This window comes from Homo sapiens, chromosome 1, assembly GCF_000001405.40.
Source record: "Homo sapiens chromosome 1, GRCh38.p14 Primary Assembly".
NCBI classification, from domain to species: domain Eukaryota; kingdom Metazoa; phylum Chordata; class Mammalia; order Primates; family Hominidae; genus Homo; species Homo sapiens.
The window spans coordinates 89,711,942-89,737,737 of NC_000001.11; the positions used below are offsets into that span (position 1 = coordinate 89,711,942).

General features: G+C 39.2%; 1 protein-coding gene across 6 annotated transcripts in view; it reads left to right on the forward strand.

The window, feature by feature from the left end:
* LRRC8C (leucine rich repeat containing 8 VRAC subunit C) overlaps positions 1-7,592 on the forward strand; it is a 103,710-nt gene extending 96,118 nt beyond the window's left edge. For 5 of the 6 annotated variants that reach the window (XM_011542282.3, NM_032270.5, XM_047432040.1 and 2 more), the window contains one exon: positions 768-7,592. In XM_011542282.3, the coding sequence (XP_011540584.1) occupies positions 768-3,041 (2,274 nt within the window). In that variant the 3' untranslated portion in view covers positions 3,042-7,592. The remainder of the gene's footprint in view (positions 1-767) is intronic. The other variant, XM_011542283.3, reaches the window with a different exon arrangement.
* The last annotated feature ends 18,204 nt before the right edge of the window (positions 7,593-25,796 follow it).

Here is a 25,796-nt window from a genome sequence, read left to right on the forward strand (position 1 = left end):
AAGAAGGGGAAAACAAGACAGGAATTCCTTTCATAGTTCCTCCTTCTTATCTTTCTGCTTCTCATACACAGACTGATACAATCTTTGAGGACATCTAACTCAAGATTGAGTCTGAGAAGATGATATACTTCCCAGACTGATGACTGATTCTCCCAGAATCCAGTGAGAGAATTGATAATTTTTTTTTTGAGACAAAATTTTGTTCTTGTCGCCCATGTTGGAGTGCAATGGCACGATCTCGGCTCACTGCAACCTCCACCTCCTGGGTTCAAGCAATTCTCCTGCCTCAACCTCCCAAGTACCTGGAATTACAGGTGCCTACCACCATGCCCAGCTAATTTTCGTATTTTTAGTAGAGACAGGGTTTCGCCATGTTGGCCAGGCTGGTTTCAAACTCCTGACCTCAGGTGATCCACCCGGCTTGGCCTCCCAAAGTGCTTGGATTACAGTTGTGAGCCACTGCGCCTGGCTGCTAATTTTTTAAAAATACATGAATGTTCCCTAAATATTTATTTTCTTGTGAGTTGTTCTATGACCTGAAAAAACACTGTTTTATGTCATAACTTAGACATGATGAACAAAGTCAGATATTTCATTTTTCCAATATATGAGCTAAGAATAAAATCTTGATGCTGGAATTGAACGTTGTATTCTCCAGGCAGAGGAAATGGACATTTATTGGATGTTACTGCTGCTTTCTTTGCAGTAATGACATTATGAAAGCTCTTTGAGTAATATAATTTGAAAATATTATTTCCATGTTTCAGGTCATGCAAGACAAGATAATCTGCCTTCCGAAAAGAGTGCAGCCTGCTCAGAACCACTCTTCCCTTTCGAATGTCTCTCAAGCAGTTGCCAGTACCACTCCACTGCCTCCACCTAAACCATCTCCTGCTAACCCCATCACTGTGGAAATGAAAGGCCTGAAGACAGATTTGGACCTTCAGCAGTACAGCTTTATAAATCAGATGTGTTATGAGCGAGCCCTCCACTGGTATGCCAAGTATTTCCCTTACCTTGTCCTCATCCATACCCTGGTCTTTATGCTCTGCAGTAACTTTTGGTTCAAATTCCCTGGTTCCAGCTCCAAAATAGAACATTTCATCTCCATTCTGGGGAAGTGTTTTGACTCTCCTTGGACCACACGGGCTTTATCTGAAGTGTCTGGGGAGGACTCAGAAGAAAAGGACAACAGGAAGAACAACATGAACAGGTCCAACACCATCCAATCTGGTCCAGAAGACAGCCTGGTCAACTCTCAGTCTTTAAAGTCCATTCCTGAGAAGTTTGTAGTTGATAAATCCACTGCAGGGGCTCTGGATAAAAAGGAAGGTGAGCAGGCTAAGGCCTTATTTGAGAAGGTGAAGAAGTTCAGGCTGCATGTGGAAGAAGGTGATATTCTATATGCCATGTATGTTCGCCAGACTGTACTTAAAGTTATCAAATTCCTAATCATCATTGCATATAATAGTGCTCTGGTTTCCAAGGTCCAGTTTACAGTGGACTGTAATGTGGACATTCAGGACATGACTGGATATAAAAACTTTTCTTGCAATCATACCATGGCACACTTGTTCTCAAAACTGTCCTTTTGCTATCTGTGCTTTGTTAGTATCTATGGATTGACGTGCCTTTATACCTTATACTGGCTGTTCTACCGTTCTCTACGGGAATATTCCTTTGAGTATGTCCGTCAGGAGACTGGAATTGATGATATTCCAGATGTGAAAAATGACTTTGCTTTTATGCTTCATATGATAGATCAGTATGACCCTCTCTATTCCAAGAGATTTGCAGTGTTCCTGTCTGAAGTCAGTGAAAACAAATTAAAGCAGCTGAACTTAAATAACGAATGGACTCCTGATAAACTGAGGCAGAAGCTACAGACAAATGCCCATAATCGACTGGAATTGCCTCTTATCATGCTCTCTGGCCTTCCAGACACTGTTTTTGAAATCACAGAGTTGCAATCTCTAAAACTTGAAATCATTAAGAACGTAATGATACCAGCCACCATTGCACAGCTAGACAATCTTCAAGAGCTCTCTCTGCACCAGTGTTCTGTCAAAATCCACAGTGCGGCGCTCTCTTTCCTGAAGGAAAACCTCAAGGTCTTGAGCGTCAAGTTTGATGACATGAGGGAACTCCCCCCCTGGATGTATGGGCTCCGAAATCTGGAAGAGCTGTACCTAGTTGGCTCTCTAAGTCATGATATTTCCAGAAATGTCACCCTTGAGTCTCTGCGGGATCTCAAAAGCCTTAAAATTCTCTCTATCAAAAGCAACGTTTCCAAAATCCCTCAGGCAGTGGTTGATGTTTCCAGCCATCTCCAGAAGATGTGCATACATAATGATGGCACCAAGCTGGTGATGCTCAACAACTTAAAGAAGATGACCAATCTGACAGAGCTGGAGCTGGTCCACTGTGACCTGGAGCGTATTCCTCATGCTGTGTTCAGCCTACTCAGCCTCCAGGAATTGGACCTGAAGGAAAACAATCTGAAATCTATAGAAGAAATCGTTAGCTTTCAGCACTTAAGAAAGTTGACAGTGCTAAAACTGTGGCATAACAGCATCACCTACATCCCAGAGCATATAAAGAAACTCACCAGCCTGGAACGCCTGTCCTTTAGTCACAATAAAATAGAGGTGCTGCCTTCCCACCTCTTCCTATGCAACAAGATCCGATACTTGGACTTATCGTACAATGACATTCGATTTATCCCCCCTGAAATTGGAGTTCTACAAAGTTTACAGTATTTTTCCATCACATGTAACAAAGTGGAAAGCCTTCCAGATGAACTCTACTTCTGCAAGAAACTTAAAACTCTGAAGATTGGAAAAAACAGCCTATCTGTACTTTCACCGAAAATTGGAAATTTGCTATTTCTTTCCTACTTAGATGTAAAAGGTAATCACTTTGAAATCCTCCCTCCTGAACTGGGTGACTGTCGGGCTCTGAAGCGAGCTGGTTTAGTTGTAGAAGATGCTCTGTTTGAAACTCTGCCTTCTGACGTCCGGGAGCAAATGAAAACAGAATAACTTATTTTTCGTTAAAGTTTGACTGAAACACGCTTCTACCAAATACAGTATAAATAATTAGGTAGTCTTAATGCCTTTCCTATTTTTTTTTCCTTTTCACACAAAATGTACACAAAGATCGCGTAAGGAGTATGTATTTTTAATAAAAATTTAATTGTATTTTTTCAATATTAATATTTTGAAGTTTTATTTGTCTTGAAACACAATGTATCTATTATCTACTGACAGAAAGAGATAGTTCCATTTGGTTTTTTGTTTTTGTTTTTTAGTTCATTCTTGTGGAAAGGAGGGAATTATAAGTTGCATGCTTTTTGGCATTTTTTAAATAGAGGAAGATATTTTGCCAAGGCCATTTTTAACTTGTTTACACCTGTACAGGGTTCTTATTTTTGTTTTCATTGTGTGTGTATCAAGGAATCTGTGCTAGTTATTTTAATACCAGCTGTCTTCTCCATTGGCCAAGACCTTCATTCAGTGGAACTTCACATAAGTGCATTGTCATAGAGTATTTTAAATGTTCCCCTGCCTCCAACAAAACCCTAAACTGTGTTATTTCATATACCTGACAGTTATTGTTATCCTTAGGCAAGGTTTTTGTGAGTGAAGAAAATAATCTTTAGTGGCTGGTATGTTTGAATTAGGCCTTTATCATTTAACTTATTTGCATTTTACCAACATTTTAAAAATATTTAAAACCTAAATACAGAGGCTCCTCCCACCTTAATCTCAATACTGCTATGTAGTACTGGTGAACAACTTTGGAGAACCTAGATTTATTTTAATATTCTAATAGATAATTAAATTTTAAAATGATAGAAGCCTGGTTTTTGAGTAATTTAATCATCTTTCATATCTTGATATGCAGCTGCATCAGATGGAAAAAAATTTACTAAAGCACCCTGTTAAAGAGCTGGTGTGCTCCAGTGAGGCCCTCTCCTTTTCTCAGCACAGTGTGGCAGTGGTAATCTATTCAAATTTTGCCTGTTACACAAAATAATCCACTTATATATACAGTCAGCCTTCCGTACTTGTGGGTTCTGCATCTGTGGATTCCACCAACTGTAGATGGAAAATACTCAAAAAGAAAGTTGTGTCTGTACTGAATATGTACAGACTTTTTCCTTGTCATTATTCCCTAAACAATACAGCGTAACAACTATTTAAATAGGATTTACATTGTTTTAGGTATTATAAATTACCTAGAGATGATTTAAAGTATATGGGAGGATGTGCATAGGTTATATGCAATTTCTGCACCATTTTATGTCAAGGATTTTGAACATCCTCAGATTTTGGTGTTCGAGGGCATCCTGGAATCAATTCCCCATGATACCGAGGGATGACTGGATATTAATCGATTTCCCTCAAGCCTGCCCTTGCTGTGAACTAGTGCTACAAGCACGGGAAATCCATCTGCTCTCTGGCTTAAAATATGTATCTCATCTAAAATTGTTCGTTAAAGTGTGAATAAATTGCTAAGTGGTTGTTGCTTAGCAATAATTTTTGCCTGACCATCAGCAGAGCTTTTATTTACCTTTGTAATTAAAATCCAACATAGCATGGGCTCTTGGGCAAAATATTTCACTGACTATTAAGCATGTAGAACAGGAAAATGAAATACACTATTTGTGCCCTTGACCTAGAACCAGAACCACTAATTATGAGAACTTTGTTTTATGTACCAAATTCACATTGACCATTTTCTGAGCTCTAGACTGATCGTAGTAAGTTTTGTGACTTAACAATGAAAGAAAGTAGAAAGATGCTTTGGGTTTTCAAAATGTTGTTTTTTAAAATTGTTCTTTGGGTGAATTTACTCAGTGCTGCTTTGAGTTGTATACAGAAACAAATGTTGGGAATTGCTCCTCAGAAATGTGTTCCTAAGTTGTGTTTTCAACTTTACATCATGAGGTGAAGCATTAGGGAAAGAGATTCTTTCGATTTGTTTAATAATCTAATTATACAGACCAAAGTGCTTTACGTTTCTGCTCTATGTTAATGTTTTAGAATGGTGATTTTGCTGATTAATTTAGACCTGGAATTGAAATAATGTGCTCAGAATAATAACATGGTTATAGTTCTTGTATGATAAAGTATTCAATTTCAGAATAGTGTTGGAATCCTGAGTTTGAATAATGTGTTGTATTTAGAAACATAGCCCTATCTGTTTTAAACAAATAATTTGTTGGCCGATTGTCCATGGTTGAGCATGACAAAAATACCTCGTCGAAAGGCAAGCTTAGGTAACTGCTGGCAAAACACTGGGTGCACTATTTTTCTGGATAAAATTTATAGTTATTTTCTATATTACCCTTCAAAAGGGATCTCTTCAGGTTAAAAATCACGCTTATGCTGAAGTCTTTATCTGGTGTTAACTAAAAATCTCATATGGGTTCATAACCGAGGTCACTAATAATTCATTTTTATCACTTGTAAAAATTTGCTCAAAATTCCAAAAAAATATTGATTTGTTTTTTAGTGATTTTGCAGGCTGACCCCCAACCTAAGTTTTGATAACATCTGGTAAGTCAGTATAGTTCTGTGACTTCATGTTTTAACTAAGAAGGAAAATTCATAGATATTCCTATTAGATTTTATAAACCTTCAAAAGTCTGAAACTTAATTTTGAGTCTAAATTTTCTGACACTGGCCCCTTTTAATATTGTAAGTTTTTGTTCACTTTCTTAAGTAAAAAAAACATTTAATTACTAGTTAGCCCTTAACTGGGAAACTCAGGTAATGAACTGCTGACTTTTCTAAAGTTCTTTAACTGATCAATTCTGTATAGAGGGATATTTATCTAACCACTTTCCGTATTTTACAAGTGCTCTTTCTAAAAAGGAATAACTATTATAGCTCTATTTCCCCAATCTCTATAGGACTCATGAGAGATTGCTTGTGTAAATATAAAAGCACCATATGTGTTCTTAACTCCTATGGCTGCTTGAAGCTCATGATGAAAAAGTCTTTTTGTCAGTTTTAATTGTTAAGTACAGAACAAACAATTGTTTGGTGATGGCCTGGTTGAAAGAGAGCATATAAATATATCCCAGTGGAACTCACCAAAGAAGACCACACCTCAGAAATTATTGCATTTTCTCATTATGTGTTGGGTTTGATTTGCTTTTGTTTTTAATGCAGCTCTTTTAATATAAAGATTCTTGATACAGTGAAATCTCTTATTTCAAGTGTAAGTTATTCTTCACCCACCCCTTCCCCTGCCATTGTATTTCCCATCTGTTTCAAGGAGTTTCAACAATTTACATTGCATCGTATGCAGTAGGTACTGCTTTTTCAGAAAGACCTGGAAAACATACCTGCTATGAATATTTTGTTCAGATGTAGCCATTTACCTGGCTCTCAAGTTGTCTTTGTGGAGAGGGTCTTAGACAAAAATCTTCCTTGTATTTACTTGGGTTAAGTGAAGTCCAAATTCTTACAGTATGCTATTTCAGGATTTCTGATATTAAAAAAGAAAAAACAAAATCTTTATATCTCTTATTAACACTTCCCCCAAGAAGGGTTGTGCTGTTATTTATTTTCTATTATAAGAAAAGTTCATTCTTTAAGTAGTTTCTTTTACCTCTAATCTAATTTCATACCAAATACCTGATCAATAGAAATGATATATTTAAGCAGCAAAGATTCCTAATCCATCATTATGAAAAGTGTCAGCATACTTAGTAGTGAACAGATAAAGTCAATTTGAATATAATTCCACTTTGTTTTTAGAGACTAAATTAAGATTCAATTAACATTATCCTATGAATTCTGAATGTGATAATGTGATTCAAACAGTCAAATTTTATTAAGCTCTTAGTAACTCAGGATAGCATTCCATACTAACCTCAAGTTAGCAAAACAAATTAGTTAAACAGCTTGGTTCTTAGCAGACTGCTTAAAAGATCAAGAAAATTTTCTCATCTTTTCTTTCTACTTAGAAACATTGCAAGAAACCTTGGACAGTCTTCACCAGACCTGCCATGATTTTATAAGATTTAGGCCTCAGTGACATGCTCCTGAAAGTTTCCTGCCAGCCATCCAAACTAAGCATCCACTCATTCCATCTTCCCAAAGTCACTCACCGATAAAGGTAGCATCCTTAAGTTCATTTTTGAAAGGTGGAGGAGGATCTCCCCCTGCCCAAAGGAATTTTTTTATCAGAATACCTTGAAAGGGGGGTATATAAATTTGGAAAACTTAATTTCTTGGCTGTGTTTGATAACAGTTCCTATGCATGGTTTTTAATGTGAGGTAAATTTGTTTCTTTCTTCAGAATACCTCTCTCCACCCCCCACCTTATTCTTCCTCTTTAATGAATATTTTTATTGGAGCTCAAACTCCATGACTTACGTGCTCACTAAGTTTTCTTTTTTCCCCTTGTTTACTCTGTCTGTATGTATGTCAAAAGCTGGCAAAACCTCTAAAACTGTCAAGAAAATGCTTGAAAGTTGATTTGTCATAGTGCAAATTCATGATAAAATGTCTTAATGTTATTTGGATATGTAGTACATAGAAACAGAAAAATAAAGTCATTTTTATAACTTAAAATAGATATTTGTCCCTCTCTTACTCATTTTTAGAAATCATGTTTATCGTTTGCATTTCTTAAACTATTACTAAAGCTCCCTTTTCTCTGCAGGAAATAAGCTGCATGCATTCTTTCACTTTGTGTTGAGCTAGTTTCTGTAATTGTGACTAATTATTTCCTTCCTTAATTCACTCTACTGTATCTACCTAAGGTGCCCCTGGAGTTTCATTTGGGTAATTAGTGCCTTCATATGTAATCTGGAGTGCAATTTCTGTACGTTTGCCAGATGAGATTGTACAATGGCTGTCCAGCTCAGCTTTCAGTAAATAGTCTTATAGTAATGACTGTGGTTACTTAAAGGAATCAGCATGATCCTGCACAGCTAGGAGGCCTCCTCTAATTAACCACATTCACTCCAGGCTTAGGGAAGCCCTCTACAAGGAAACTTTATGACCACTTACGCATAAGAAATGATGGGTAATTTTCAAAGTTAAATAGTCCCTTTACACATTTTTATTAATAATAGTGTTTATTTTACTGATCATCAGCCCTCTGGAGAAGGATTGTTGAGATAAGGAAGGGTGGTGAGTGTGATGGGAGAGGCTGTGTAAGTGTGAGTAGCACAAATTAGAAGAGATCATGTGAGAGCTCTGGAGAAATTCTGGAAAGGAGCTAGGGAATGCAATAGATTAGAGACATCTGGCGATTTCAGTGCAATCTGCACGTACAGAAAAAACTGCCCACTGCCATTCTCCACTGTCCCATCTTCTAGTCCTTTCACTTACACAGAGTATTGAGATAAACTCTGAAAAATTTTAAATTGGTTATTATTGGCTAGCAACATAAGCTTTTCGTTTGGGTGAAGAAGTAAATGCATAAAAAGGAAGTTATTAAAGTTCATTTGAGACTCAGTGGAGTATTTACACGGTCAGAGCACAAGGCCCACATATTTCTGAATGTAAGTTTGAATGTCATCCTAAATTTGCAAGTAGGAAAAAAGTGAAAGCTGTTCATTAGCTACATAATTTTGTGTGAGCATAGATGTTTGAATGCAGACTATACTGTAGGTTTCACATTTAAACATATTTGAACATATTTAGGGACAAATTATTAAAATAGTTATATGATCAGGCATATCATAAGTGATAGAATATTCCCAGAGTTTGAATATTTTGCATAAAAGATACAGGGTAGGCAATGATATCAAACATCTAAACCAAATTGGCCATTCCAATTATTTTAATCCAGGGATTTTTCTGTTATAAAGTTTGAGAAGTAGAAAATGGGCTTTCTCCTTATTTTTTAATCCTTTACAGAATTAATTTTATTTCAACTCGAGTTACATCTGGACTTTTGCCATTAAAAAAATACTGCTTGGTTCAATCCTTATTAGCCTCAGGTAAAAGACATCTCAGGAAAAGTGACACAAAAGAGGCAACCTCTAAGTTTTACATTTTTTATCTCCTCCACAGTTCTTCTAATTAAAAAAAAAAAAATCAACTCCCCAGAAGTGATGCTGATATGGCAAAAAAAATATATAGCATTTCTTCACTTTGAATTGGGAAGGTTCTTGGGATTTCATTGTAATTTAACATAGACTATGTGTGACAGTTTTGTTAAAATCATACTCTAATATTCAGACAGCTTAAAAATCTTTCTTAGGATGATTTAGTCCAAGAATAATGAAAACCAATGCAAAAATGTAAAGATGTACTCCCTATGCATTTGAGCAATAAATGTCCACAAGCTTATGAAATGAGTTCTATTCATGTCTATTGAGCTGTATGGATAAATTATATCTTAGTAATTTAAATTTCTTTGTGAAAACTAGGTTGTCAAAGTTGCCACTCTTAACAAAATTCTAAAAGGCCATGTACAACAATGATATCAAAATGAAAACCAAGTTTTATTCAATGGGTGCAGGGCGTTTCTGTGAGCCTTACCAACAGGAAGTCAATTTGTTCAAAATTAGAAGACTATTTTTTCTGAACTCTCCCCCAGGTTCTAGCCTCTGGTGGTGTGACTCATAGACTTCCCTGGTAATCACACTTTGAGCCTTAACAATATCAGCATGCTAACAGATTTAGTAGTTTTATGCATTTAGAAACAAAGACAGGATGTTGACAGCCTTAAGTGATGAAGTATTTAAAATAAATTCATACTTGTAAAACTAAAAACTAGAGATTCCAATCTAAACATTTAGCTACGTAAATATTTTCTTAAGTCCACGTAACCTCTCAAAGAAACTGATTTCATGTCAAATGGGAAATACAAAGAATGTCAGATTAAACACCTGGTTTATATTAAATAAGGCTGTCATTTGTTGGGGGGCAAGGGGAGAATGGAGCTTAGAAAGCAGACTCCTGATAAGGGGTGCTTAACACACTTTCTAAAATTCAGAATGATTTGTTGCCCTTCAAATTCTACCAGCTTTAAAATAATCAAATCTGGGCCGGGCGCGGTGGCTCACGCCTGTAATCCCAGCACTTTGGGAGGCCGAGGCGGGCGGATCACGAGGTCAGGAGATCGAGACCATCCCGGCTAAAATGGTGAAACCCCGTCTCTACTAAAAAACACAAAAAATTAGCCAGGCGTAGTGGCGGGCGCCTGTAGTCCCAGCTACTTGGGAGGCTGAGGCGGAGAATGGGGTGAACCCGGGAGGCGGAGCTTGCAGTGAGCCGAGATCCCGCCACTGCACTCCAGCCTGGGCGACAGAGCGAGACTCCGTCTCAAAAAAAAAAAAATAATAATAATAATAATAATAATAATAATAATCAAATCTGAAGTACTGCAAACCAGCTAGGTAATTATTTTCAGGTAACGTTCCCTAACTCAGAAACTGCTAGTGACTATTAAGTGCTTCAGTTATAAATCTGATCAAGAACTTGCATCAAAAATGCCAGGAAGTTAACTTCAAAATCTTATGGGAAAAACTGATAATGACATTCTCCATCCCCCTCCCCATCTCCCCACCTGCCAAACTATATCCTGCGTGGATATTCTTAATAGCACAGCACTACACTATGGTAAACAACTGTAAGACAAAAGTTGCATTCTGGGTTGTTTTCAAATGTTTAGAATCATTTTTTTTCTTATATATACAGGGAGGAAAAAAATTATACAAAAATTTATCCAGGATTCTACAAATGCTTTAAGTAGGCTCAATAATAAAGGAGTTATACTTACTCTATTTATGTACTTTGATCAGACGGGGCACACAGAGTATTGGGATATTCATAGAAATGCCCTTTCTGTTGTCAGTCCGTCCATCCAAATCCAATCTAGGGCCCTGCATGTATTAAAATCCATGAGACTTTTTAAAGAGTTTTCAAGACTTATTTAGACTTTCTCTTAACACTTTCTACCTGCCTCATTATTTAGGACACTTACCACTTGGATTATGGTTGTTTTAGGACTTATCATATCTTTCTTTCCAAAGTTGGAGGCCCAGTGAGTGCAGAAACCAAGACTTGTTTATCTCTGTATTTCTCTGTGGTGCTTACCCTTGTGACTTGTACCCAGTTGGCTCTAAAAAAAACACTGAATCAATCAAAAGGCCTAACTCCATTAACTGAGGGACTTAGAACATGAGGGACCATCATCTCTGTTCAAATTCACTCCTAGGTGCAAGAGTTTCTTAGGGCTACCATGACAAAGTACCACAAACTGGGTGGCTTAAACAGATTTATTGTCTCAGTTCTAAAGCACGATGTTTGCAGCAGGGTTGGTTCCTTCCAAGGACTGTAAGGGAGAGTTTGTTCCGTCCCTCTCTCCTCATTTTTGGTAGTTTGCTGGCAATCATTGATGATCCTTGACTTGTAGATGCATTACCTCCATCTCTGCCTTTATCTTCATGTGGCATTCTCCCCATGTGTATCTATCTCTGTGTCAAAATGTCCCCTTTTTATAAGAACATAGTCATACACCCTAATGACTTCATCTTAACTTGATAATCTGCAAAGACCATGTTTCCAAATAAGGTCATATTCACAGGTCCTGAGAAGTAGGGCTTCAACATCTTTTAGGGGGACAGAATTCAATCCATAACACTACGCGAGATTCTTCTCTTTCCTGATGAAGCTCTTAAATTCTAGTTTTATTACAAGCAGAGATTTTGGAGCCATTGAAGAGTAGTTAGTCCAGAGGTTTTCAAATAGTGTTCCAAGAATCTATAACTCTCCAACAAAGTATCTTAGAAGAACTCAGGGAGTGAACAGGGCTCCTGGTTTTATATCTGTTGCAATTAATATTTCCATGTAACAAACCAGCCCAAAACTTAGCGGTGTAAAGCAACTACATTATAACACTCAGATTCTGTAGGTAAGGAATCTGGCACAGCAAAGACCTCTTACTTATGCTCCATGATGTGTGGGACCTCAGTTGGCAAGACTTAATGGCTAGGAGCTACAATCATCTGGAGGCGTCTTCACTCCCATGTCTGGTGTTTGATTCTAGCTGTTGGCAGGAACCTCAGCTGGGGCTATCAGCCATAGCAAACCTTTCCATGCAGCCTGGGCTTCCTCCCAGCATGACAGCTGCAGGGTAGTCAGGCATCTTACACAATAGCTTAGGGTCCAAAACAAGTATTCCAAAAGACAAAAAGGATGCTGCATCATCTTTCATGGCCTGTCCTCGAAAGTCACATTCCTCACTTCTGCCATGCTCTTATTAGTTAAAACAGTCATAAATCTTGCCCCGTTTCGGAGCAGCGGCAGAGAAGACACAGAACCCACGTTTCAGTGGGAGAAGTGCCAGTGTCACATCTTAAGAATATGTGGAACAGGAGTTATTGTTGTAGCCATCTATGAAAAATACAATCTGTCACACAATCTCACACCAAATTCTTCAACCATGGAGCAGCACTTCTAAATGTTTTACATGTAAGGACCTCTAACTCTTTAATGTTTGCTAACATTTATAGATAGGAAATATAGGATGCATAGAGGCCAAGAAACACTCATGAATTTCATACAATCTTTCAGCATATCCAGTAATTATTGTAGAAAAGCAGAAAATTTACAAACCTAGTGTTTTCATTTCTCCTTTTCTTTGGGCAAGCAGGGGGAACCTGGCAGAATGCGTATTATGAATAGCTGCAAGAAAGCCATCATTTCATTTTATTCCCTCTTTAAAATCATTATCTTTTTGACAGGATTTCAATGAGGCACTTTTACAAATTTTGGTTAACGCTCTTACTTCTCCTAGTGTAAGCCAAAATTTCCTAAATGCTCAGAGACGGGTGTGTACACACACCTCTTGTCTATGACTTACACAAATGAATAAGAGGAAATGTCTCATCAGTCTCTGTGGTGAAAATGTGGAGAGACCAGGGGTGGGGCCTTAGCCAAGCCCCTGAGCTTCCATTTTTATCCCAGCACAGAAGTGTGCTCAGGGCTCTAGCTTCCTGCCCTCCCCAGCCTGACCCTAGTGAAGGTTACAAACCCTCCCAGTGACTGCAGGACAGGCAGTGAGGGCAGGTCTCTTGCCTCCTTGCTTTGTGGCAGCCTTCTCAGTTGGGTCACATCATTCTTCTAGATCAGGAGGAACATTTAGGGGTTGGAAAAAGTTTTCTAGGAAAGAATTACTCATGAGCAAAGGGACCAGAAAAGTCCCAGAGATGTTCTTCAGCAGACAATTTAAACTAATGACTCGCTGCTGGGCAGCCTGCCCTATAATGGCTGATGTAAACTGTGTCTATGTAATGCTGTATTAAGATCTGCGTTCTCCCTCCAGCCTACTAAATCTCCAAACCAAATCATTGAGGGCTTGCGTCACTCATGTTTAATCTTGTAAAATCCACCAACACATTTTGCTTGTTCAGAAAGAATATTCAATAGTTATGATCGTCCATGATAAGGTTGCAGTGCAGATGTCGAACTGGAGTCTGTATGTCCCCTAAGATTTAGATGAAATTGGCTATACCCCCAAGTCCACTGCCCTCCCTAAGGTTTCATAAGTTTCCAATGTGTTTACATTTTCAGGCCACTGACTCTGAGCCTCAGTCTCTATGGAACATCTTCCATTCATCAGCTCACCATTGCTTAGGTTAGATCTCCATTCTAGAGTTTGATCCCTGTTCTTCAGTAAACCACTGCCCTCTTCCTGGATCTCCCCCAGCACTCACACTAGGTTTTTGTGCATTTTAGAAACTTTATTGAAGGTTTGGAGAGACAGCAGAGCATTCATGAGAGCAGTGCAAGCTACTCTAAAACCCCATGTTTGTGAAAGCCATCCCCATCTTCCCCCTCCCAGCCCTTCCGTCTTTTTCTCTGCTTCACAACACCCGTCTCAGGTTCCTCACTTCTGGCAGAGGGCCCTCTCACTTTCTCTCTTGTTTCCTGGTCTCCCACTCTCCACCTCCTCACTCCCACCCTTGGCCCTCCTAGCGGCTTACCCATGTATTTCTCTACACACTTCCATCATGTAGGAGGGATTCTGGTGTCTGCTGTCCAGTTGTTTGATCAGCCTGATACAAGTCGTTGCTTGACCTCTGCCTCTTTCCTGTCTTTCACAGCCCTCCTCTTCTGCCCTCTGCATAAGCCAAATCTTCAAGCTTACTCCTCAGCCTTTTGTACCCCTTTGTCCTTACCCCAGCACTTGGTGGCCTCATTTACCTTCAGGGCTATGTCAGCAGCCTTTTTTGGCAACTCCCAGATTTCTAGTTCTGGTTAGCATCTCTTTTCCACCTCCCACCTCCAACTGCCTTATGGACATTTCCTCCTGCCTGTCATCTCCAGCTTCATGTGTTTAGAAGTAAACCTGTTCTAGGCACAACTCTCGTATTTGCAACTGCCTCCTAAATAATCTCGTCATCAGCCACTCCCGCTTCCACACTAGACTCTCTCCTCTTCTCCACCATTAGACTAGTGTTCCCAGCTGTAACTCTGACCTTATTGCTCCTCTGCTCAAAAACCTTCCCAGTGTCTTCTTGATATTGTCTGTGGGCCTTACCCTGACTTTCGAGGTGGACCACAAGATAGGCTTGACCTGCATTTCCAGCACAAGTCCTGGAGTCCAAAAGGAGTTCCAATTCTTACTATCCATTTACCTGATGCATGACTTTGAGCAAGTTTATTTAAACTCTCCAGCCTCTGTTTATATTGAAGATATCCAAGTATTGACCCTTCCCAGAAAGTAGTAAAATGTCTTGATGCTGGTCCCACCCTCAGCCAAGTGCCTAATTAGCTATATCATGGAGCAGTTAGGTGGGCTGGGAGAAGAACTGAGTGGAGTTGGGGAAGACGGTTTGTTCCCTTTTCTCTGAAGTTCAGATGTTGACAGGTAGCTGGCATTATAGGCACTAAGGGCTACAGCCAAAACTTTGGCTGCATCAGAGAATCTGAGCCTGGGAGGCCCTGATGTAATGCATGGCCATTACACATTTGGTCCAGAGTTTACATCCCATCTCTGCCGCTTTCTGCATGTGTGTTTTGGAGCAAATCAGTTAGCTCCTTGAGCTACATCCTCCTCATCTGTAAAATGGAAACCCACTTTAAAAGTTCCTGCGAGGATCAGTGGCCTGAGGTATGTGATGTGCCTAGCTCAATGCTTGTACTCAGAAAACTTGCTAGTCTCATGATGACTATAGACTGAACTCTGGCTCTGGATAATATAAAAATTATCTACAATACTGCACATTTTCCTAAAGTCAACATTTTTTAACACCCAGAATGTGCTAGACATTGTTGTAAGGGCAGCAAGTTTGTATCTTTGTCCTTAAGGAGCTAGAGCATCATGGAAGAGTCACAGCTAAACAGCTACCACTGGGCAGCAGGATAAGTGATGCAGTGAGTGTGTAAGTGAAGTCCTCTGGCAACACAACTGCTTTTTCAACCAACCAGCATTTTCTGGGCACCTTCCAGGTAGCACATACTGTTCTAGATACTTAAGGACCAAAAATCAATACTGTGATCCTTGTTCTCAAAAAGTCCATAATCTAATAGGAAAAGGCCTCCATGCATTCAGATAGCTACAATGTGTTGTAAGAGCTAACCCAGAAGTCTGTTCACACTAGGAGCAGCGGGGAAAGTGGGCCAGAGTCACCTGGCCATGGGAAAGATTTCAGGAGATGAACCTGAACTGAGTCTTGATGCAGGTGATCCCCAGAAGAGAAATGAGAGGACGTCAGGGAAAGAGCTTTTAGGGTGGGGACAGAGGCCTGAGAGATCACGTGATGTCATTTGGAGGGCTTGGTGCCAGGGAAGGGTCACGGCCATTGGAATGGATGAGAGGTAAAGATGGAAAGATGTGAGGATCAGCTTGAGGGTGCCCTGTGTATTCCACCCATGCCAGAGACCTCTTTATTTTATCCTCCAGCAGTGGGAAACTGGGGAAGGTGTTTAAGCCCATCCTCAGTTAAATTCAAAGGCAGGATAATCTTACAGTCTGTCTGGAGCCTCCTCCCTGTGTTCAAATTCTTGTAAAAAGAAAGAAACTACCATCTCGTTTTTTAGAAATCCAAAGGCTACAGAGAGAAGCCAAGAGTCGGCAGATTAACAATGCCCCAATCAAATTTCATGGTGCATGAGACTCATAAACATTAATGTGTTACTTCAGCTTGTTCTTGGCATCACTAGACCTCAGGAAAACTACCCAGCAGGCCCATTGTCCTTTGTCCCTGCCTCTTCCTCCTTATTTCACACCCCGGTTTCTTCCTTCGCTTTGCTGCTGTTTTCCAGCCGATTAACGGGAATTTGCCCTGTTTCATGTCTACAAAGTCAAAAGGAAACCACCCAGTTTACCTGAACTCTGAGCGCCATTCTCAGTGCAAAGCTCTCTTCCTCCCTCTGCCCCTTATCGTACCGGTGTGCTCATCTGTGAGGTGCCATTCTCAGGGTATATGAGGATGTGCAAAAGTTTGTATCTGCTTATCCTCCTTCAAGCCTGCTCCCCAGGTAAGTCCAATCTGCCTGCTTGGAGCCCTGTGGGCTGGATAACTCAGGGCGAGAGACACAGTGGAAGACGTAGCTTGGTTAGCCAAGTGTCCCCATTAGGACTCTTGCTCTTTTTCTGTCTCCAGAGGAAAGGTGGAGCTTTCCTGCCCACAGAACTTAGTTTCATTTTCCCATTCTTTCTAATGCTGTGTTCCTGCCCTACCCTCCTGGGTAGCACGGGTCTTAGTGTTTCTTCTGGACAGCACTCTGCAGAATGCCTTGGTTCTCCCAACCAAGGGCTTTGATGCTAATGGGAAGACCACAGGTTGAAACGCTAGAGAGCACACTTCTCCTCTGATGGTGCCATTGCTTAATTATTTTGCAACCCCTGCCTCAGCCTCTGGCAGGACCCTCTCTGCCATAGCAGGGAGCCACAGCATCTCTGGCACCCACGCTTCCCTGACCACACCCTGGGAGACTCTGACTCTTCCCACCACTTTCCGTTACAGAGGAAGCAGCGCAGTTTGGAATATGAGACTGGCCCCTACAGTGGCTCTTCAGAGGGACCAGGTGACACAACCTGAAAGTGAGAGGCAGTTTATGCCCGTAGGGTGAAATTTGACCAAATAGAGAAAAAAAAAAAAGACCCTGAGGGGACTGCCAATAAATTCTACGCCCTCCCTTCCTCCTGTGGGTGATTCCTAGGCTGAGTGGTTTGGTTTGTCCTGCCAGGGATGTCTCATACCACCAAGCAACAGGCTGTTTTGTCATGAAGCTGTGACCAACTCATTAATGAATATTCACTTTCCTTCCTCCCAGCCTGGATTTTCCTTTTCTCTTATTTTTGCAACCCTGCCGTGGCGCCTCCCAAAAAAGCATTAGCAGGTAAGCTTTTTTGGAGAATCCACTAACCCTTGCCCACTGAACTCAGAATAACACTCTGAACCCATTAATATGGCTGGTTTCTTCCTGGGTTGGTCTAAGCAGGCTTATAATCACTTTTCCCTGACACCCGCTAAGGCCCCAAAGGAGGTCATTCCTTGTTTCTCCCTTGGAAGGGAATAGAGTCAGATTGGCAGATCCCTGGAAAACACTTAGGCAGAGGGAGAACCATCACATCACCAACATGATGGGTGGGAGAAATGAAAACAATCTAAGCTTCCAAAAATGAGAATGATACATTTTTACAATAAAGCACTAGGTAGACATTTAAAATAATGTTACAAATACATTTATTGACGTGTAATTCATTATGTGTTAATTGAAAAAAGTAAATTTTTAAAATTAAGCACAGTGTGATCTCACTTATGCAAGAAAGAATATATATATATTTAAAAATTGGGGCCAGGAACTGTGGCTCACACCTGTAATCCCAGTACTTTGGGAGGCTGAGGCAGGCGGGTCACCTGTGGTGAAGAGATTGAGACCATCCTGGCCAACATGATGAAACCCCATCTCTACTAAAAATACAAAAAGTAGCTGGGCGTGGTGGTGCACACCTGTTCTCTCAGCTACTCAGGAGGCTGAGGCAGGAGAATCACTTGAACCCGGGAGGCAGAGATTGCAGTGGGCCAAGATCACACCACTGCACTCCAGCCTGGGCAACAGAGTGAGACTCTGTCTCAAAAAAAAAAAAAAAAAAAAAAAATGGAAGAAGATATACATCCAAATGCAAACAGAGATTGTCATTCAGTGGTGGGAGTATAAGTGCACTCTCTTTTATTCTTTATATATATCAGTATTTTAGAATTTTTCCTCTAAGAATTATATATTAATTGTGATTTTTTTATTTAAGAGAGAAAAAAGTATCTAGGCTTGGCACTCACAGATGCACCTTCTGCCAGCAATATGCTGTAACATTAGAAGGGAAATTAGATGAAGACCCAGAAAGACTCTGGAGGACTAAAGATAAAAGATATGCTTTCACATAGGCTTTTATTTATGAATAAAATAAAATATGAATTTTATTTATTTTATTTTTATTTTATTCATAAAATAAAATATGAATAATTAGAATGATATTGTTTAGAATTGTTCCAGTAATATACACTTGTTCAAGCATAAAGGTAATACGTGTGTATATATGTATATAAACAAGAGCAATGTTATAGTGTTGTTGTGGTCACTGTCCTTTGTGAGGCAGCTCATAAAATATATGTGTGTATTTCATTATTTTATTATTCTTAATAATTGAATTGTCCCTAATACAAATACGTTGCTCCTTCAATTTTTTTTGTTATGTTTTTAGTTCTTGAGAATTTTTAAGGATAAACCATTGCCTCTGCACAGGGTAGGGCAAATGGTGAGCAGTCTATTTATTCAGCATACACCAAGTTCTGTCTATTTTTCAGAACTTAGCTGGGTACTAGAGAATCAGAATGTAAAGGCACATACAATTCCCTCAGTGAGCTAGTAGGGGACAAGAACCAGTGAACAAACATCCAAGATGGACTACAATGAGTACTCTATGCCCAGGCCTCTAATGGGCCCAAGAAGGGCATGCAATCCAGGTGGGGAAACATGTAGTCAGGAAAGGCTTCCCCAGAGTAGGTGACATCTGAGCTGTATGTTGAAGGACAAGTGGTATAGGAAAACAGCCTATTGCACGGCAAGAGTGACGCCATCTTGAAGTGAAATCACCGTGGTGGCTAATATTTGACTCCTCCATAGCAAGGTTTTAAGCAGCAAGGTCTTTAAACAATGTTATAGTGTAGATAGCCTGAAAAAGATGCTTCCCTAACCTTCCCAATAGTCACAAGTTTCACAAGAAAATCTGAAACATGACCAACTGCACATGTTTTACTCTAAAATCTTGCTACAAGTGTAGGAATCCACCGTCTCATGGCCACCAGAGACCTTGCTTCTGTTCCTAAGTCCCTAAAAAAATTTTTTTTTTTTCTGAGAAACTGGATTTGTCAACCTCTTTCTTTGGCCTGTTAGCTCCCTTGGCTTTCGGAGTTAGGTTTGCATAGACCTGTTCACCACATGGAATAAGTGAGAATTAGCCAAAGAAAGGGAGAAGGGTATTCTAAGAAGAGGCTAGCACATGTGGAAGGGAGCACGTCCAGGGATGGGAACAGTTAGAAATGTTGATCAGTGCTGTCCAGAACTATCTACGAAAGTCCTATATCTATGATGTCCAAATGGTAGCTACTAGTCACATGTGGCTGTTGAGCAAGTGAGGAAGTGAAATTTTAATTATTTTATTTTTAAAATTTAAATGGAAATAGCCACATGTAGCCAGTGGCTACTGTCTTGAACAGTGTGGCTCTACCTAGTTTTTTCATTTGAAATAGGTTTTGTTTTCATTTGAAAAGTGAAAAAGAGTCAGTACAAAATTTCAAAACAGAGTAATTACATGAGTAGATTAGGAGGAAAGATTACTTGCAAATTTGAAAGCAGAGTAATTTGGACAGTTTTTAAGATGCATTCACTTTCCATGACCTTCTTAGGAAGATTTTTTTTAAAAAAATGAAGCATATATAAAACAAACTGCCATAAAATTTTGGAGCAAAAATGGACAAATAGGACCTAATTAAACTAAAGAGCTTCTGCACAGCAAGATAAACTATCAAGGAAGTAAAAAGACAACCTAAAGAATGGGGGAAAATATTCACAAACTATGCATCCAACAAAGGTCTAATATCCAGAATCAAGAATGAACTAAAACATATCAACAAGCAAAACACATATAACCCCATTAAATAGTGGGCAAAGGGTATGAACAGATACTTCTCAAAAGAAGACATAAAAGTAGCCAACAAACATGAACAAATGTTCATCATAACTAATCATCAGAGAAATGCAAAGCAAAAGCACTGTGAGATGCCATCTCACACCAGTAGAATGGCTTTTGTTAAAAGTTAAAGGATAGATATTGGCAAGGCTGTGGAGAAAAGGGAACACTTACACACTGTTGGTGGGAATGTAAATTAGTTCAGCCACTGTGGAGAGCAGTTTGGAGATTTCCCAGAGAACTGAGAGTTGAATTACCATTTGACCCAGCAATCTGTCTTCTGGGTATACACCCAAAGGAAGATAAATCATTCTACCAAAAAGACACATGCACACATGTGTTTATCACAGTACTTTTCACAATAGCAAAGATGTAGACTCAAACCAGATGCCCATCAACTCTGGACTGGATAAAGAAAATGGAGTACGTATGCACCATAAATAAATGAAATCATGTCCTTTGCAGCAACATGGATGGAACTGGAAACCATTATCCTAAGCAAACTAACACAGAATCAGAAAACCAAATACTGCATGTTCTCACTTATAGGTGGTGGCTAAACATTGGAAACACATGGTCATAAAAATGGGAACAATAAACACTGGGAAATACAGGAAGTGGGTGGGGGTAAGTGTTGAAAAAAACACCTATTGGGTGCCATGCTCACTATCTGAGTGATGTATGTATTCGTATTCCAAACCTCAGCACACACAGTATAGCTTTGTAACAAACCTGCACATGTACTCCGATTCTAAAACAAAGATTGAAAAAAATTATTTTTAGAAATGATCTGACAGTGGAAACTACCAAACAATTAGCTCACCTGCAAACTGAAAGGTAACAGATAACCATCCCAGTAGGAAACCAAGAAGACAGAATTGGGGAACCATTCCCTAGGGCCTGCATACAAATGGCCAGTTACACATACGAAGCAGGATTCAACCTCAATAGGATTCTAGGAAATTTCAGTAAAAATGAGATTCTCATTTTCAGTTGTCAAATTGGTAAACTTTCACTTTGAACACTGAATGTTGTTGAGAATGTAGATAAAGAGTTACTCCCTTTAAAACTCTTTAGGAGAATAAATTGGTGCATCCTTTCTGGAGGCCAGTTTGGCAAGATTATAGCAAAAGACTTGAAAATGTTTAAGCTTTGTCAGCCAGCTATTCCATGTCTGGGAACTCGCCATTAGGAAGTAATTAGAGATTCTTGAGAAGATTTACACATAAGGCTGTTCCATGTCTGTGTTACATACAACAGTGGGAAAAATGACAACAAATTATTTGTGGTTCCCAACAGGGGATTTCTTAAATAAATTATGATACATCTACACAACTGAACGCTACATAACCATTAAATATGTTGTATATGAATACCTAACTGCATGGGGAAAATGTGTGTGATATATTGTTTAGTAGAAAAGTATCAAAACCCTATTAGAATATAAGATTTTAGTTGTGTATATTTTTAATCATATGAATAGAAAAAATACTTGAGGGATATTCACCAAAATGTTAATGCCGTTTATAACCTAGTGGTGTGATTACAGGTGATTTTTATTTTCTTCTTTGTGTTTCTCTGTATTTTTAAATTTTCTACAATGAAAATCTATGACATTTAAAATAGAAAAGCATTTTTTTAAATTAAGGTTGTCGATTATGTTGGTAGTGTTAAATTGTAACAGAAGTAATGGAAAGTATGCAACTGCCACCTGCAGAAGTGCCACACTAGATAAAATGATTAAAGTAGCAGCAGGCATCGGCTAGTCTAGACTTGTAGGCAGTAGAGCTTTTAAAGAGGCTAAGTGCCTTTGGAGTCCTTTCCAGAAATTCCTCCCTGCTTTTTAGTAGCAGAAAAAGTGCTTTAATTAATCAAGATAAAATGTTTTCAGCAAGAGATCATTATGTATATGAAGTTCATCTTGCAGCCAAAGATGCGGATGGCTTGTAAAAATAGAGGGAATTTTCCGCTTGTTAGGTTCTTGCTAATATTTTAACCCAGAAAAGTTTCCCAGTACCTGGAAAAGGAGAGAGGAGAGTAGCAAGGAAAGATTTAACCAGACTCAACAACCAGAAACCTCAGCTAATCTGAAATTCTTCTGCCTTTGACTTTCAGAAGAAAATGGAAGATCTCAAGAAAGCAATTCTGAATTGAGATTTGCCCATAACCAATTTTCAGGCTATTTCTCAGGACTTTACCAACTCAGACTAGTCTCCAGATTTTCTATGTCAATATACTCATCCTATCCAATGAAAATAATTTCTAACAGTAAATGTGAGATTCCAGGAGAATTTTCAGAATCAATGAAAATAGATTAAATCATGTTCTACACACTCTACTTACCATGCAGAAGGAAGAGAGGGAGGGAGAAAGAAACGATAGAGAGGAAGGAGGGGAAGGGAGGAGGAGGGAAGAAAGAAAGAAAAAAGAAAAGAGAATGACTATGTAGACTGGGCCCTACCCAAAAACTCGCAAGACTGTGTCAGAAATCTGGCTTCCAAGTGTGAGGTACACCCTATGCAGTCTGGCCAGATGCCTAGCATCACACTTTGGTAATTTCCTTGGAAAATGAGAGTCCTGCTATCTCACAGCCTCCCTCCTCCTCCAGAGAGAAGGAAAGGGCCTTTTCCTTCACAAACTGGTTTGGAGGCTCATGGTCATTGAATGGCATTCCCATTCCTCATGCCCATCAGTCGTTGCACCTACCTTAGTTTCACTGCCAATGTTGCTTCTGAATCTCCCTGGATGCTCTTCCAGGAGTAGCTGATGAACTATGTAGACAATTCTGCTTGGACATTTCCCTTCCTGTTGCCTTTAGTTACAGAAATTTTTGTGCTTTGGCATTTGGAAACTTAATTAATGACTTTCCCTCCTTCTCCTGGTTCTAACAGATAATGTCTTCTATTTCTAAAACGACTTGGGTGGGTAATGGGGTTTGGGCTTAGAAGCAGCAACAGAGGACAGTTGATGGACATATGATGGCAACTATGGGTCTCAGAGGATGATTATTCTGTCGGAGTTACTATTATGTGACCAAGGCTGTGTGGAACAGGACTGGATTATATGTGGGTCTCAATAGATAGGGAAAAACAAGGACAGCAGAAAAGAACTGTGAAGAAACATATTTGCTTATATTATTTCAAAGTGGATTGTAAATATTTGAGATTGGTAGATGCTGTAGGCAGAGGCAGCATAAAATGAATGAAAAATCTCACATGTCTGAGAGGTCACACTGCAAGTCTAACCCTGCCTCAGTTGGCAGCAGGGTTCATCCAGAGGCCATTAGATTTCTCGCTCCTGTGAACACCTGGAACCCAGTTTCCTGCCCCTTCCCCCACTTGATGTGTGTGTGCATGCACACACAAACACACAGACACACACACCCAGCATGTGGCAATACAAGTCAACAGCAACAGCTCCTGCTCCAGGAATGACATTCACCTGCTGTGTCTAGGTCTCCAGTGCAATGGTCTCTGACTCCTGGATTCTGAACCATGTGTACCCAGAGCCTTGGTGCCTGCCTGAAGGAGTCTCAGCTGATCTGAGATTCCGTCCTGTACATTCCAGGATTTTGATGCCAATTGGGTTTGTTCCTTGAAGCTTAACTTCTATTTACAAAAGACTTGAAAATATTTAAGCTCTGTCAGCCAACTATTCCATTTCTGGGAATTTGCCATTAGGAAGTAATTAGGGATTCTTGAGATTTATGCATAAAGCTGTTCATGTCTGTGTTACATACAACAGTGAGAAAAATGACAACAAATTAATTGTAGTTCCCAACAGGGGATTTCTTAAATAAATTATGATACATCTACATAACTGAACACTACGTAGCCACTAAATATCATATTGTATGTGAATACTTAACTGCATGGGGTAAATGTGTGTGATATATTTTTTAGTAGAAAAATATCAAGCCCCTATTAGAATATAAGATTTTAGTTGTATATTTGTTTAAATGATATGAATAGAAAAAATACTTGAGGTATATTCACCAAAATGTTAATGCTGTTTATTACCTAGTAGTGTGATTATAGGTGATCTTTATTTTCTTCTTTATGTTTATTTTCTTCTCATGCTGTGCTGTATACTGCACCAGTTACTGTCTGTATGTTGGTATATTCAGCACCTATGGTAACTACAGTTCATATCTTAACCAGATGGCAGAAACATACCTTAACAGACATGTTACTTCAGTATTTCACTCATATGAAAACACATGTCTCCTGAAACCTAAGTGATCTCTCCAGTTGACTATGGTGGTCTTCCCCAGACATTGAGGACCTCACCCTTTACAAACTATAGCCCAGATGGACTAAGAAGGTTCTGCCTTTCCTACATTTCTAACCTAGGCTCTATTTCCATTCGTTCTGAATTTAGCTTCTCTCTGGTGTGATTTACCTTCACCTTTGCCAAAAAGCAGTATGTATAACTTTGTACTGTAAAAAATACTCAGAGAAAACTATTAGTAATCAAATTCCTGTTGGACATAAATCGTAACTAGTGAGGCAGAGTAACCAGGTGGAATATCACAGACCTTGGAATGAATGAGAACTGTTTTCCAACCCAGGCTTGTGAGCTGTGAGATTGTGAACATGTTTCCTAACCTCTGTGAGCCTCTGTTTCCTCATTTATGAAACAGAAATAATAATACATGCCTCACAGGGTTGTTAAGAGGGTCAAGTGACATAGTGCATGTCAGGCTGTTAGCAGTAACAGGTGACAAGGCTTCTAACTATTGAATTCTGTTTCCCTCTCCCCTATTTCTAACTTATCTGTGGCTGTAAATAGACACTTTGAGGGATTTAAATGTACAGTGTATATGTTCCATGAAACCCAGAACTTATCTGTATCCCCAAGGAATATTACTTAGCACATAGTTGAGGTTCAATAAATATTTGTTTAATGAATGAATGAACCATTGGTCTCTGCCTTTGCCTAGGGAAATGGCCAGTATCTGCTCTTTGATGGATTACTTAGTCTAAGAGGGCACTTCACCTTAAGCAAGTTCTCAGCTAGACTGCTGCCTGACGGACCATCCTGCCTCTGCACAGCACCCTCTTAGTATAGTCATGTGTTGCTGAGTGACAGGAATACCTTCTGAAAAATACAACGTTAGGTGATTTCATCATTATGGGAACATCACAAACCTACTTACACAAACCTAGGTGGTATGGTCTGCTATACACCTAGACTATGTGGAATAGCCTATCGCTCCAAGGTACAAACCTATACAGCATGTCACTCTACTGAATGCTGTAGGCAATTGTACACAATGGTAAGTATTTGTGTATCTAAAAACAGAAAAAAGGTACAGTAAAATATATTATAAAAGATTAAAAAGCATACATTTGTATAAGGCACTTACCATGAATGAACCTTATAGGACTGGAAGCTGCTCTGGGTGAGTCAGGGAGTGAGTGGTGAATGAATGTGAAGGCCTAGGACATTACTGTACACTACCATAGACTTTATAAACACTGCACACTTAGGCTACACTCAATTTATAAACAAATATTTTTTATTCCTTCAATAATAAATTAGCCTTAGTTTACCGTAACTTTTTAACTTTAAACGTTTTTTAATTTTTTTAACATTTTGTCTCTTTTATAATA